The sequence below is a fragment of the Homo sapiens genome, chromosome 2 (assembly GCF_000001405.40).
Source record: "Homo sapiens chromosome 2, GRCh38.p14 Primary Assembly".
In the NCBI taxonomy this organism is placed as follows: Eukaryota; Metazoa; Chordata; class Mammalia; order Primates; family Hominidae; genus Homo; species Homo sapiens.
This window is the reverse complement of record NC_000002.12, coordinates 26,546,426-26,561,918: the sequence shown is the minus strand read 5'-3', so window position 1 is coordinate 26,561,918 and position 15,493 is coordinate 26,546,426. Positions and strand designations below refer to the sequence as shown.

Below are 15,493 nucleotides of genomic sequence, written 5' to 3'. Positions count from 1 at the left end.
CATACCTGTAAACTACTCCACAAGAGGCAAAAAGAAAATCATAGAACGTCTGGGTGTGTGATTTACATTTGTCCCCAATGCTGCCGTTCATTTTGGGGATGGCATCCGCAGGGGTAGCGCTTGCCCCAGAGAGCAGGCCTGCTGAAGGCCCACCCCCTGTGTAATCCTCCCTGTGACTGCTTCAGCCTCCACATTTGAGTTTCTCCAGGGACCCTTACACCAGCCTTGGTGCCTAGGGCAGGCACAGGGCCTTCGGCTTTTCCATAAGGGGTGAGGGTATGGGGACAGCTTCCACGGTGCCAGGCTCTTGGTGACTCGGGTGGAGGCCCTGCCACCCCAGCTCCCTCTGCAGCAGTCCTGGTGTCATGAAGAAGCCTGGCAGTTCCCACTTTGTCTCCAGGTCTTGCTTCTTCCCTTCAGATGCCGGATGGAGAGCAGTGCTCCCCTCGCACTTCGGTTCTGTAAATGGCAGTGGATGAAGACCGCAGACGCTACTGGGTTCACAGAATGTGGCTGCCACCAGCATTCTCCAAAGACTTCCCCTGGCAAATGCCAATGAAATGAAGGGGAGCCACAGGCTTCCCAGAGGCTCAGGAAGCAGAAACACTGAGGCCTGGTTGGAAAGAGAGCTGTAGGCAAAGGAACGGCTGCAAACAAACTGGGTGGAAGGAAAATCCATCCATCCTTCAGAATGCAGTCATGTCTGTATTTTTCTAAATTCTCATTGGGGAACATGTTCTACAATAAGGAAAACATGAGTCAAAGACCCCCAGCCCTGGTGAGGTTGACCGCCTACTTCCTCCCCCATTCAGGGCTGCCCAGCCAGTCCTGCTGGTAAACCCACCACCCTGCCTTCCACCTGCCTGTGTTCTAGTCCATCTGTCTCGTCTGATTGGGATCCTGTGCCATCCATATCATATTCATCCCTGAATCTCAGCACCTGGCTCTGGAAAGAATTCAGTAAATGTTCATTACATAAATTATATACTCAGTTACCAAAATGGGTAACAGAAGAATGGAAATTAAAAAGTGGGTTCTGGCTGGGAACGGTGGCTCATGCCTGTAATCCCAGCATTTTGGAAGGCCGAGGCAGGCGGATCACTTGAGGTCAGCAGTTTGAGACCAGCCTAGCCAACATGGTGAAACCCCATCTCTACTAAAAATACAAACATTAGCTGGGCATGGTAGCACATGCTTATAGTCTGACCTATTTGGGAGGCTGAGGCAGGAGAATCGCTTGAACCCGGGAGGCAGAGGTTGCAGTGAGCCTAGATCACTCCACTGCCCTCCAGCCTGGGTGACAGAGTGAGACTCTCTCTCAAAAAAAAAAAAAAAAAAAGAGTGGGATCTGTCTCTTAGGTTTTCAGAAAGGCCAGCTGACTCCATTGAGAGCTGCTGAGTGGAATTGCTACCATTTTATGGATGTGGAAAGTGAGATTCAGCATAGATCAATGCCTTGGCTAGGGCAGGATCATGGGCTTTTTCCTAAAGATGCACAGGGTCTATAAGAGGCCTCATGAAATTCACTCCTTTCAGGGGAGGACCTCCAGAGAACCAAGGAAGAAGATATTTTCTGTTGTTGTTGTTGTACCTTGTAGTCACCAAGCCTTAAAAACACAGATCACCTGATGACCTCATGGATGGAAAATGCTAGTGAATTTAGGTGTTTTTTTTTTTAAGACATTAAACTTATCTAGCTTTTGAAAATTTAGCATTCATACTTGTATTCAATAAACAGAATACTCTAAGACATTTTTAAATTCAATATGATTAGATAAATGTGAGAAAGGTAAGCAAGAATTGGTTAGGAAAAAGTGCAAAGGAAAAAAACGTAAGTAGAAAAAGAAAAATAGGGCACAGTAGCAAGGAAATATCTAGAAGGAGGAAAGAAGGCTCTTGGGACATACTGTAGGTTATTTGGAATGCAGAATTCAAAAGAAGTAACCTCTTGTTACCATGCTGTGAAAAATTAGTATTTCTCTTTTTAACCTTTAGACTCTGTTTCAGGTAGATCCCTGAGCTCACTCTTTTATCCTTTCAACAGTAATTGGGCATCCTACGGTGCACAGGATACCATGTGGGGCTCTGGGGTAGAGGGATGCTGTGCTCCAGGGCCCTCCTGAGGTCAGGAGGGGAAAAGGCAAGGGAAGCAGCCCCAGGACTCAGTAAGATGAGAGGAGGCAGGAGCAGCACAGAGGAGGACCCCAACCCAGCTGGGGTGCGGGTACAGAGGCACCTCCAGGAGCAGGCACTCAAGCTGAGTCCAGGGTGGGGTGGAGGGCATTCCACCAAGAATGAATAGCAAGAACAAGGCTGCAGATGACCCTGCACAGATTCCAGCATCAGGGATTCTGGCCCCCAGCGTCCCTTTCCTTGGTGTATGCTGCTGGAAGACAGGAGGGGGCAGTTCTCTTTTGGTCCTTAGAAATTTCCCTATAGACATCCCTTCTCCTGCCCCTAGCAGCTTATAACAGCAGAAGGCCATTCAATTCTGCTCCTCTGGCTGGAAAGCAAACATCAGCCTGGCTTACCTTCGCTAGCCTGCCTGACCCCCAGCCTTGGGGTGGGGCTAGGTTAGTGCCCTGGATCCTTAAACATGGCCCCTGGTAGCACATAAGCCTCTGCTGCCTCCACAACCAGCCATCTCCATCATGCATGGCCTGGTCCTGAGCCTCCCCTCAGGCAGCAGCCCCAGCCTCTCTGCTTCCTGAGATTCAGAAACAGGGATCCCAGGGCAGGGCTCAGGGCCCAGCCTCTTGGGGGCACAGTCTCCAGCAGGGAAGAGGTGGGCGTAGGTGGACAAATACATTCCCTTCTTCTTGTAGTGTGCCCCTGTGGGTGGGAGTGCCCCCCGCCCCACATCCACCCTACCTATGCTCATGCCCACTCCTCTGTGCCCACTACTGGTGGCAGGGCTTGCTTAGCAGGGAAGCAGCAGAGCCCTGCAGAGGGGTGGGCAGAGCCTCCCTTCCAGGAGCTGGGAGAAGACACCTGAAGCTGGACAGAGCTTTATCTGGGAGCCGGCGGCTGCTGAATAATGAATTCCAACTCTGCCGCACTCCCAGGCTGCACATTGGGTGCACACACACACACACACACACGCACACACCGATACACACACGCTGGGCTGACAACTTGGAGGGGCGGGGGCTGTGAGGCTCTGTGAGTCGCTGCAGGAGCAGCTTAGCTCGGCTTGGTTGCCTTGGTCTCTGTGGGCAGCATCGGAGGGGGGTCGGGAGGAGGAGGAGGAGGCAGCGGCAGAGAAGAGAGAGGCGTGTGAGCCGTGCTCCACCGGCTAGCTCCTTCCCGCTGCTCCTGCCTGGCAGTGCCAGGCAGCCCACACCAGCATGGCCTTGCTCATCCACCTCAAGACAGTCTCGGAGCTGCGGGGCAGGGGCGACCGGATCGCCAAAGTGACTTTCCGAGGTAGGGAAGCCGCTGTCTCAGAGGGACGCCAGCTCTGAGAGCTGGACCAGCCCATGCTCTGGAGGTGGCCGGGGATAGGACAGGGCTGGGAGGATGGGTGGGAAAAGTTCTAGCAGGGGCTGGGGCGACGAGCCTTTTCACAGGTAGTCATCTGCCTGGGACTGACTGGCCATTGTGATTTCTGGAAAATCAGGGTCCCCTGTTCTTCCATGCCTGTGTCTCCTTGTGCTTGCCAACATGCCAGTTCCCCGGGCAGGGCACAGAGCCCTCTGCCTGGGGAGGCAGAAGTGAGGACCACATCCCTGAGCTCAGGGAGACCCAGGACCCCCTCCTTCTCTCTCTCTCCCTCTCCTGCAGGTTGATTTCCTTGAGCACAGGGTGGGGGCCGGGTATGGAGCCTGGGGCACCCAGGGTGACTGGGAGAAACCAGGCAGCCAGTAGCTCCCTGGGCCCCAGAGTGATGGGGGACACTGTTGGCTTCTTTTAGATCTATTCATGGGCGGGAACCCCGGGAGCCCCTCGCCTCTCTTCTGTCTGGTCTTTTCTCATCCTTTTCACTCCTGTATTCAGCGACCATTTATTATGATCTACTGTGTCCCAAGGATAGGGGTAGAAACACAGAGCTGAGCACAACCCAGCCCCAGCCCCAAGGAGCCTGCATCTGTTGGGCAGGCGTGGAACAAGCAGGACAGGTATGTGAGACAGAAGGTGGGGGTGCAGCATGCAAGCTACAGAAGCAGCACCCTCACCCAGGCTGGTGACCGGTGGTCAGGGAAGGCTTCCCGGAGGAAGTAACACTCAGCTAATACCCGAAGGACCAGCGGGTGGGAGCTAGGAGAGGAGGTAAGGACTGAGGAGGCAGAGGAAACAGTGTGCCCAGAGCTGAGAGAGGAGCTGAAACTCTGGAACTGAAAGAGGTTCCATGTGTCTACAGCTCAGAGAGGGTGCAGGAGCGGAGGCCAGAGAGCCAAGCAGGGCAAGGAGGCGAGGCTGGACCTGACCCCGGGGACAGCGGAGCCCCTGAGCATTTTAAGTGGGGAAAGGCAGGGCCAGGCTGACTCTGTCCTTCACCACCCACCTCTGCCTCTCCATGTGGTTGCTGCCCAGCCCTGAGGGTTGGGGGTACTTCTCACTAGACATGGCCCCTTCTCCCGAGAGAGGGGTCTGAGAGTGGGATGGGGACGAGGTGGTGAGAAGGGGGCAGAGAGGACCCCCCTATACTAAAGAGCAAAGTGAGCCTTGGGGCCCAGGCTGGACACAGTGTCTGCACCTCTGTTGGAAGGGATGGGAGAGACCATTGGCAGAACATTCCAGCAAGAGCCCTGGGGCACCCACATCACCTACCCAGAGGCCCTGGGATGCCCACATTGCAGCTTGTGTTCATAGGGACAGGCAGGGGTGGAGGTGATGGCAGTGGCCCTGCCGGCAGGCGGAGGTTAGGCAGGAGGGAGAGGGAGGTGTGGGCTGGGCTGCCTTTTGCCTCCCACCCCAACCCACTGACTGCTTTCTCTGCAGCACCCTGGATCTCCCTCTGTGTGCCACCTGCAGGCTCATGCTGGCTTTAGAAAAAGCAAATGTGTCCTTTCATCTGTGAAATGTGGCCCTGAGCTCCACGGGCAGCATAGTGTGGGGCGGTTAAGCTACAGGTTGCCATCCTGCTGCAGCTGTGCTGGAACGGTCCAGGCTGCACCGGACAGGCCCACTTGCAGGCCGAGAAACCAAGGTTCAGGGGTAGAACACTGCGCGTGGCATTCACGGAGGAGCTGAGGCACGGTGGTCCCAGCTCTCAGGACCTCATCCTGAGTACTCAATCTTGCAAGCTCTTTATCTGCTCCTGGGCCACCTGGGGGCCAGCACCTTGTCTGACACCCATCTTCTCCTTGGAGCAGTGAAGGGCTGGGCCTTTAGCCTCACTGACCACACAGGAATTAGTTTATTTGCAACCCTTGCTCTCTGGACTGAGTGGAGAAATCGCTTCCAAGCTCCACATTGGCAGGAGGTGGCCATGGGCAGAGCTCCTGGGGAAGGGGGCTGGGCAGCAGGAATAGGCAGATGACAAGCAGTTTCCAGAAAGTACCTTTATTACAACGAAAGATGCCTCAGCCGCTCACCTGTGTCATCTAGCAGTTCACAGTTGTAGGCGCCCCAAAAGACCAACACTGACCACAATTCAGAGGGAATGGACCCGCTCTACAATGTTCCTTAGCATCTCCCAGCACATGCAACCACTGGGGGCCAAGCAAGTCCTCTGCAGGGGGAAACAAGAAACTGGTAAACACGCAGAGGGAGACACTGGCCCCAGGCTCCCCAAGGCTTTTGAGTGAAAGTCAATGCCGGGGGAGGTGGTGAGGGAGCCCTTGGTGAGCTGTGCCCATTGGCAGTGGCCCTAGGTAGGCCAGAGCAGCTGGTTGAAATATGGCTTGACCTTCTGTGCTGTGCCATCCAAGACACTAAGGAAAGAGCCCTCCTGGGCTATTGTGGAAAAAGTTCTGGATATGGAGTCAGAAGCCCTAGATCCTACCTGGGTTCTGCCACTCACCCTCAGTTTCCTCATCTGTAAAATGGGCATGATAATAACACTCACTTCACTAGATTGCTTCAGGGAAACCATAGGTATGGAAGAGTTTGTGGGAAGAGTATTCAAATGGTCGATGTGTTTGTGAGGCAGCCATTCCCATTCTCCTTGGGAGCAGCTGCTGGCCCCTGAGGTATCTTCTCTCCAGACCAGCAGAGGGCCCCATGTGAGATATAAAGGGAAGAGGAGAGCACGTCTAAGGGGTTCCAGTCTGCCAGGAGAAGGCAGAGAGCCTGGACTCTGCTCTGTAGGAGCCTCTGCTGAGATGTTCCGCAGGAACCCAGGCAGGCAGACCCCCGAGACTCCTGTTCTCATCTGGCTGGGTGTGCACCAGCTTTGCCCGTGGCCACCTCTTTTCCCACTGCCCTCAGGCCAGTCGGCCCCTCGGTCAGTGCTCCCAGCCAGTTCTGTATCTAGCTCTTAGTTCTTACTGCCCCTGGCTGCTCCTAAGCTGGTGCTGCCCTGTTCATGCATTTCCTGAACATGCTAATATTTGTGCACAGGCCTGGGACCCTGAGGTGAAGGGGCCAGCCTGGCCCTCCAGGAGTCACAATCCCATTGGGTCAGACAGGAGATAGGGAGTCCTGGGCGAATCTCTATTGTGCCTGCAGGCCACAGGGCTCAGCTGGGTTTCTCATTAACAAAATGGAGACAGTGGTCCTCATTTAGCTCAGAGGCCTGCAGTTCCCAGGAGTAATCAAGAGTGGGCTATCTAAGAAGGAGCCATCTTGACCACAGGTTGCTACTCAAAGAGAGGAAGTATTAGCTTCAGGTATTTCCTTTATCAACTCCTGAGATAGTTCCCTACATCAATCACAGAGCCACAGAACGCAGGGTGTGAAGGGTCCCGAAGTTCTTCTAGTCCAACCTTCTGTCCAGTGCTGAGCACCAAGGCTGGGGGACCTGGACTGTAAGGGAACCAAGTGACAGACAGTCCAGGGCCAACCCTGATGTCTCCCTTCTCTTTCTATCCCCTGAGCCTTCTTGCCAAGACATGAGGTTTGGGGATTTTCTGTGTGAGATAAGAACATCTAAAGGCTGGATCTGGCTTCCACATAATTCACTGTGGCTGGAAATTGGCACAAAGGTTTGCAGGGCATCCCCCTCCACCTTTTCATTCTTACTCTTCTTCCCACCCTCCCCCTGATTCCCACCCTGCTATGTTCCCACTACATTCAACTTCCAGCCATTCCCAAAAGATACCACACCCTTTTACACCTCCAAACTTTGAGACATCGATCATATTTCTTCTGCCTGGAATGACCACCCTCCACCTTGAGAACGCCCATTAATTCTGCTCATCCTTCAAGGCCCAGCTCATATGCTACCTCCTCCATGAAGGAGTAGTACTTTGCACACAAAGTACTCCTCTAGCAGTACTTTGCACACATTCTTCCTACTGCTCTGCCAAGGTACATTGCATTTCAGAAACTGGCCACACCTCTGCATGCTGCCCAAGCTTTTGAGCATCTTCAGGACAGACATCAGACATGGTTTCTGTCTTTGAGGGATTCACTGTGTCATGGGTTTGAGTTCTTCCACTGTGGCACTGTCACTCTTTGGCTCCATTTCCCCAACTGTGAGCTCTCACCCCAGAACTTTCTATCCAAGGAGGATCAAGGGACTGGAAGAGGCCTCAAGGGCCAAGAACCAAGAACCTTGGCTCTTACTCCTTCCATCAACTTCCCTAACCCAGAGAATCTTCTAGGGCTCCAGAGGGGCCTAACGATTTTTTTTTTTTTTTTTTTTTTTGAGTCTCGCTCTGTCGCCAGGCTGGAGTGCAGTGCAGTGCGATCTCGGCTCACTGCAACCTCCAGCTCCTGGGTTCAAGCGATTCTTCTGCCTCAGCCTCTGGAGTAGCTGGGACTACAGGCACACGCCACCATGCCCGACTAATTTTTGTATTTTTAGTAGAGACGGTGTTTCACCATATTTCCCAGGCTGGTCTCAAACTCCTGACCTCATGATCCGCCTGCCTCGGCCTCCCAAAGTGCTGGGATTACAGGTGTGAGCCACTGCGCCCAGTCAAGCCTAACAAATATTAGCAAGTTCAGCTCCAGCCCATAGGTGGGAAGCAAGAGGGATTGCGTGTGTAAGCCAGAGTCAGTTAGGGGAAGACAGAGGAAGGAGAAAGGGCAGACGGGAAAGGAGGTGGGAGCAGGCTCTGAGTTGGCCCCCGGAGCTCAGAAGGGAGGCGGGAGTTTTTATTGAGCAGGGGAAATGGGCGGTATTTAAGAAGCCACCGAAGGGTCTTAGTTCATTGGCAGGATCAAAGGCCATGAAAGGGCCAGGCGTGGTGGCTCATGCCTCTTTCCGAGCCTTACTGCGACCACACGTGGGGCAGGATCTCACCATCTGACAGAGGAGAAGAAACATACACACAGAGGTGAAATGAGTGCAGCATACAGGAGGGCCAGCGGTGGGGGTAAATAGCAACAATGTTCAGAGGATGACAGCTTACTTAGAGCTACAGAGACGAGGGAAAAGGAGCAGGAGGAGGAAGTGCCTAAGCTGGGTCTTGAAAAACTGCCCCTGTTTGTACCTATGGAGATGCAGGAAGTGAGGAATTGGTGATGGAGGAAGGTGAAGTCTTTTTGGGTGAGGGACCGACCAGACCAGAGGCCAGAGGAGGAGAATTGCAGCCAAGTTCCATGTCGGGGAAGCCACACCATGTAGCTGGAGCAGAGGCTATAGGAAGTAGAAGAGGGAGACCAGCTAGGGAGGGAGCAGTGGGCCTGCTGAGTGATTGTGCAGGGAAGGGTTGCAGCTGAGGCACTGGGGACAAGATGTCCCCCTACTGTTGGCTGCAGGCTCCACCTCTGACTCCACATTACATTTATTTTCCCCAGTAAAATGAGGGAGCCCTCCCTCTTGATGATAAATATAGCTACTATTTGGAAACTTATCTGCCGCCCCTGGTAAAGGAGGCAGAATACCCAGTGCACCCACCCCTGAAATGCTCCTGCAATGCCTAGGCCTGTCTGTGGGCTGTGGTCCAGCCTAGCACCCCCTCTCTTGGAGAATGTGAGGTTGGCATTGTCCCTGCTGAAGGCAGCAATAGAGGGGACCCTTACGACGACCTTGGCAGCCGGTGGCTGGCTGTGGACACAGCCCTGCGCTTTTGTTTTAGTCCTAACGGATATGCCCCCTGCATCCTCCATTCTTCACAGCACACTCAGTCCCCCTCACCACACCTGAGGGAAATCTTCTCTGCCTAATGCCCCACGTAGTGAATGTTCTCCCCTCCTCCCTCCCCCAGAGCAAGCCATTGCACACCAGCGAAGGGCAGACAGAGCACACAGAAAATTCCCCAGACTTCTGCTTTGATAGGAAGTGTATTTTCATGTAATGGAAATGATTGTAAAACTGCCTTCCCCTGCAAAAGCCCTCAGGAATATGCTGCTGGAAATGTGCTTGAGAACAGACTTGCAAATCATTTCTCTGAATTGGGAAGTCTTGGTTATCTTAGCCACTTTTACCGATCATGTGAAAGCCACATCTCTCGCACCCACTCCCATCCCTGGGTCTCATTTTTTTCTTTTTTCTGTCGCCCACGCTGGAGTGCAGTGGCACAATCATAGTTCACTGCAACCTCAACCTCCTGGGTTCAAGCGATGCTCCCACCTCAGCCTCCCGAGTAGCTAGGACTACAGGCACGCACCACCATGCTCAGCTAATTTTTGTATTTTTAGTAGAGATGGGGTTTCACCATATTGCCCAGGCTGGTCTTGAACTCCCGGGCTCATGTGAGCTGCCTGGCTCAGCCTCCCAAAGTGCTGGGATTATAGGCGTAAGCCACTGTGCCTGGCCTTTTTTTTTTTTTTTTAACTTTTTATATATAAAAAAACTCTCAAATACATACAAGAGTGGGGAGAACAGTATCATGGCCCTATGTTGTACCATCCAATTTCAGCTACCATCAATTCATGGCCAATCTTGCTTCATTTGCATCCCATCCTACTTCCTCACCCCAAATTATTTTGAAGAAGATCCCAAACCCCATACCATTCCATCTGTAAATATTCAGTACACAGTTATAAAAGATAAGAGCTCAAATAAATACCACATACTTTGTCATTTTAAAGAAATTAATAACAATTCCTTAGTACTATAAACTAATCAGGCAGTCATCAAATTCCTAATTGTCTCATCAATGTCATAATTTTTTTCCAATTTATTAAAAGCTTCATTTTAATGTGTTTTGTAAATCAGGTATTTAATCATTTATCCACTCGTTCTGTTGAAGGGCAGCCATGTGCCACGCACTGGGGGATGGTGGGGAATGAGACAGATGTGGTTCCTGTCCTCAAAGGGGGAAGATGACCACTGCACCCATCATCATGAGGAGCTTTATGGAAGGGAGGCACAGGTGCCCAGGCAGCTCATGGTGAGGAAACCCACTTAGCCCAGGATGGGGGGAAGCCACCCCAGTGCGTGAGCCAGAGTCAGTTAGGGGAAGACTGAGGAAGGAGGAAGGGCAGATGGGAAGGGAGGGAGGAGCAGGCTCCTAGTTGGCCCCTAGAGCCCGGAAGTGAGTCAGGAGTTTTTATTGAGCAGGAGGAATGGGCGGTATTTAAGAAGCCCTTGAAGGGTCGCAGCTCATTGGCAGGAACAAAGGCCATGAAAGGGCTGGGCATGGTGGCTCACGCCTGTAATCCCAGCACTTTGGGAGGCCAAGGCGGGGGGGATCATTTGAGGGCAGGAGTTTGAGACCAGCCTGGCCAACATGGTGAAACCACATCTCTACTAAAAACACAAAAATTAGCCGGGCGTGGTGGTGCACGCCTATAATCCCAGCTACTCGGGAGGCTGAGGCAGGAGAATCGCTTGAACCCAGGAGGCAGAGGCTGCAGTGAGCCGAGATTGTGCCACTGCACTCCAGCCTGGGCGACAGAGCGAGACTCTGTCTCAAGGGGGGGAAAAAAGCCATGAAAGGCTCCATCCCAGGCAGAGGGGCTAACACTAGTGCAGACGTGGTGGTGTGGAGATGCATCAGGGGAGTGTGGAGGGGAGACCGGAAGGCAGGGCACGGGGGACGCAGCCAAACACGGAGGGTCTTTGGTGTCACACTCTTAGCAGGAGAATGGGATGCTAAGATCTTGTTTTGGAGAGAAGGCTCTAGAGGTGAGGACTGCGGGCAGGGACACTGGGGAGGAAGCCCGGGGCAGGCGGAGGGCTGAGTGCCTCAGCAGGCGCCATGAGAGAGGAAGGAGCGGCGCTGGGATCAGGGGAGTGAGTGACAGGGCAGGGCAAGAGTCAATTGTGGTCCTGGGGACCACCGCGGACCCAGGGATTTGGGGTACAGGGCCTTAGTTGATTCTCATCTAGACAGGTGCCAGTTGCTGACACCCTGAATTCTGGCAAACATGGAGACATCAGGGTGGAAACACCTGGAGCCACTGCCATCCAGGTGGGCGCCTTGAGGGCCAGGCCCCTTGGCTGCTTTCCCAGCAGCAGCATGGAGCCTGGCACAGAACAGACCTGGCATAGAAGTGGGAGCAAGGAACACCGCCTGTGGGTGCAGGAGCAGTGATCAGTTAGCAACAGGGGCCCCCCTGCAGCCAGCCATCCAGGCAGCACCAGACAGTGATCCATTTCTCTCGGTGACAGTTCTAGAAAAGGCTCCGGAGACAGGGACTATCATGTGATCATTTTTACCCTAGACCGCTTGACCGCTTTCTGTCTGAACTGATCCACCTGCTAGACGCTGCCTCAACAGTCCTCGTTTCTATTTTATTTTCTTTTACTTCAAAGCAGAAGGGCTAATCTGCTGAGGTGGAGACGAGTTTTCACCCACTGGCTTTTTTTTTTTTCAGCCGAAGTTTAAGGTAAAGTCAGGACTGCAGTTTCCACAATATTTTTACCCTATCGGAGAGTAAAAGAGTCACCCTCCCATTATACCTCATTGTATTCCCAGTGCCTGGCACAGAATGGGTACTCTACACACTTGTGGATCACTGGGACCACAAGCTCCTCTGTCACCGTAACAGGGGAATCTAGGACCCAGCAGTTGATGACTGTGTGGGTGGCACTGTCCAAGGCTCAAAGACAAATACCACAGGCCCTTCCTGCCTCAGTGCCAGGGTCTGAAAAATGGGAACCAGCGCTTTCAGTCGGTTGCAGGGCAAAGTCAGAGTTTGAGTGAGGACCTGGAAGAAGGGTTTGAGCTGAGCCAGAGAGATGGGATTTATCATCCCTGCCCTGCCCCTGCCTCTCAGATGAATCCCTGACCCAAGCCTAAGTTTCCATAGTGTAAACCTGGATGTTAGCAGGGTGGGTTAAGGGGAAATACATGAGTGGAGGTAGAAATGATATTTTAGTACAATTTGTGGATAATAAAGGGTTAGAGTTCCATGGGGCCTCCATTTAGCTGAGAAATGGGGAAAATGGAAGGGGTAACCTTTTCCAGTGGGAGGCCCAGGGACTCTGCAGTATCCCAAGTCTGGCTCTGTGAGTCATTGGTGATTTTCAGAGAGTATACTATGTAAGAAACATGAGGAACAGCTGCTTTCTTGGACAACTCTTTGAAGTGAATTTCTTTCTTCTACCATGCCATCAACTGTCATTATAAAATTGAAGATGTGTTTCTCATGGGGAAAAAAATTGTTATTACAAGAGATATGGGCAATTAGACAAGTCTCAATACATTTCAAAAGACTGAAATCTTACAGAGTATGTTCTCTGACCATAGTGGAATTCAGCTAAAAATCAATAATAAGAAGATTATCTTTGAAAGTTCCAAATATTTGGAAATTAATGCCTTTCTTAACCTATGGTCAAAGAAGGAAGTAAAAGAGAAATTATGAAACATTTTTAACTGAATTATAATGAAAATACAACATATTAACATTTATCATTTTAAGTACTTACAGCAGAAAAGAAGAAAAGTGTAAAATTGTAATCTAGGTTTCTGCCTTAAAAAGATACCAAAAGAAAAGCAAATTAAACCCAAATCTTGAAAACATTATGTTAAATAAAAGAAGCCAGACACAAAAGACCACATACTGTATAACCTCATTTACAGTCAGGCATCGCTTAGTGATAGGAGTACATTCTGAAAAATGCATCATTAAGCGATTGTGTCATTGTGTGAACATCATAGAGTGTACTTACACAAAGCTAGATGGTATAGCCAACTACACACCTAGGCTACATGGTATGACCTACTGCTCCTAGGCCACAAACGTGTACAGAACGTAACTGTATTCAATGCTGTAGGCAATCATAGTACAATGGTAAGTATTTGTGTATCTAAACATAGAAAAGATACAGTAAATACAATATTATAATCTTATGGGACCACTGTTGTATATCCAAGTGGTCGTTGACCAAAACGGTGTTATGTGGTGCATGAATGTATACGAAATGCTCAGAACAGGCAAATCCATACAGAGAGGAGATTTGTGGTTGTCAAGGGCTGTGGGGAGGGAGAATGGGGAGTGACTGCTCACGGGTATGGAGTCTCCTTCCAGGGTGATGAAAATATTCTGGAATTAGGTAGTGGTGATGGGTGTACAACCTTGGGAATATACTAAAAACGACTGAACTGTGCACTTTAGAAGGATGAATGTTATGGAATGTGAATTATATTTCAATAAATAAAAATCAAACACCCCCCACCAAATTAAACCCAAGGACAGTATAAAAGGAAGGAAATAGAAAATAGACAACAGAGAAATTTAACAAAGCCAAAAGTTGGTTCTTCAAAAAAAATTAATAAAATAGATAAACCCTAGCAAGACTTATCAAAAATAAAAAGCAAGAAAACACAAATTACCAATATCAGGAATAAAAGAGGGAATATCATTACATTTAAAGGAAAATATGGGAATATTACCAATAACTTACCTCAATAAATTCTACAACTCAGATGAAATGAATAAATCTTTTGAAAAACAACTTACCAAAACTGACAGAAAAAGAAATGGAAAATCCAAAGAGCCTCCATATCTATTAAAGAAATTGAATTTGTAATAACAATGATGATGATGACAATAAACTTCCTTCCACAAAGAAAACTTCAGATCTAGATGATTTCACTGCTGTATTGTAGAAAACATTCTTTTTTTCTTTTTTTGAGATGGAGTCTCGCACTGTCACCCAGGCTGGAGTGCAGTGGCGCGATCTCAGCTCACTGCAACCTCTGTCTCCCCAGTTCAAGTGATTCTCCTGCCTCAGCCTCCCGAGTAGAGCAGCTGAGACTACACGCAGGTGCCACCACGCCCGGCTAATTTTTGTATTTTTAGTAGAGACAGGGTTTCACCATGTTGGCCAGGCTGGTCTTGAACTCCTGACCTCAAGTGATCTGCCCATATCGGCCTCTCAAAGTGCTGGGATTACAGGTGTAAGCCACCACACCCGGCCTGTAGAAAACATTGAAAGGAAAACGTAATAACAATCTTACACAAACTCTTTCAGAAAATAGAGAAGGAAGAGCACATCTCAATTCATTTTTTATTATCAAAACCTGACAAAGACCTTACACAAAAAGAAAATTACAGCCCAATATCTCTCATGAACACAGATGTAAAAATCCTTAACAAAATATTAGCCAACTGAATAGCAATATATGAAAAGAATAACACATCATGACAAGTGAGTATTATCCCAGGAATGCAATGTTAATTTAAAAGTAGAAAATCAAAATATTTTACCATATTAACACAGTAAAGGAAAAAATTCATGATTATATCAATAGATGCAGAAAATGCATTTGACAAAATTCAACACCCATTCATGATAATAACTATCAGCAAACTACCAATAAAAGGAGCTTCCTCAATCTGATAAAAATCATCCAGCTAACATTATACTTAATTCAGAAATATTGAACATTAAGATCATGAGTCAGGCAAAGTTTTCTACTCTCACCACTTCTGTTCAACACTGTGCTAGAATTCTAGCCAGTACAAGGTGGCAAGGTAAAAACAACTCCTACAGATTGGAAAGGAAGAAGTAAAACTATCTTTATTCACAGAAAACCTGATTGGTTATGTAGAAAATCCTAAGGAATCTATTAAAAAGCTACTACAATTAATGAATGAATTTAGCAAGTTTTCAGGATATATGATTAATACACAAGAAAATAAATTTTACCAAAGACAGGAAAGACTTCCACCCTAAAAACAAAACAACACAAAATGCTGAGAGAAATAAAAAAAAAAAAAAACCAAACATGTAGAAAATAGATTATGTTTATGGACTGAAGATTCATAATTGTTAAGATGACAATTCTCCACAAAATGATCTATAGACTGAATGCAATCCTAATAAAAATCACAACAAACTATTTTGTAGAAATTGAAAACTACTTTAAAATTTATGTGGACATGCAAATGATCTAGAATAGCTAAAGCAGCCTTGAAAATGGAGAAGAGAATTGGAGGGTTCACACCACAGCTGACCCCTGAACAACATGGGTCCACTTATATGTGGATTTTTTTTTTTTTTCTTTTTGAGACAGAGTTTCACTCTTGTTGCCCAGGCTGGAGT

At 49.4% G+C, this 15,493-nt stretch overlaps 1 protein-coding gene across 2 annotated transcripts in view, besides 2 other annotated features; it reads left to right on the top strand.

Annotated features, from left to right (window-relative positions):
• Window positions 2,216-3,008: an enhancer, noted in NCBI's record as "H3K4me1 hESC enhancer chr2:26781779-26782571 (GRCh37/hg19 assembly coordinates)". NCBI's record gives its function as "activates a minimal SCP1, AML or CMV promoter by ChIP-STARR-seq in naive H9 embryonic stem cells {active_cell/tissue: H9 hESC(naive)}" and the evidence as "EXISTENCE:reporter gene assay evidence [ECO:0000049][PMID:30033119]".
• Window positions 3,009-3,802: an enhancer, noted in NCBI's record as "H3K4me1 hESC enhancer chr2:26780985-26781778 (GRCh37/hg19 assembly coordinates)". NCBI's record gives its function as "activates a minimal SCP1, AML or CMV promoter by ChIP-STARR-seq in naive H9 embryonic stem cells {active_cell/tissue: H9 hESC(naive)}" and the evidence as "EXISTENCE:reporter gene assay evidence [ECO:0000049][PMID:30033119]".
• OTOF (otoferlin) overlaps window positions 3,163-15,493 on the top strand; it is a 101,554-nt gene continuing 89,223 nt past the window's right edge. For both annotated transcript variants that reach the window (NM_001287489.2, NM_194248.3), the window contains exon 1: window positions 3,163-3,426. In NM_001287489.2, coding sequence (NP_001274418.1) covers window positions 3,348-3,426 — 79 coding nt within the window. In that variant the 5' untranslated portion in view covers window positions 3,163-3,347. The remainder of the gene's footprint in view (window positions 3,427-15,493) is intronic.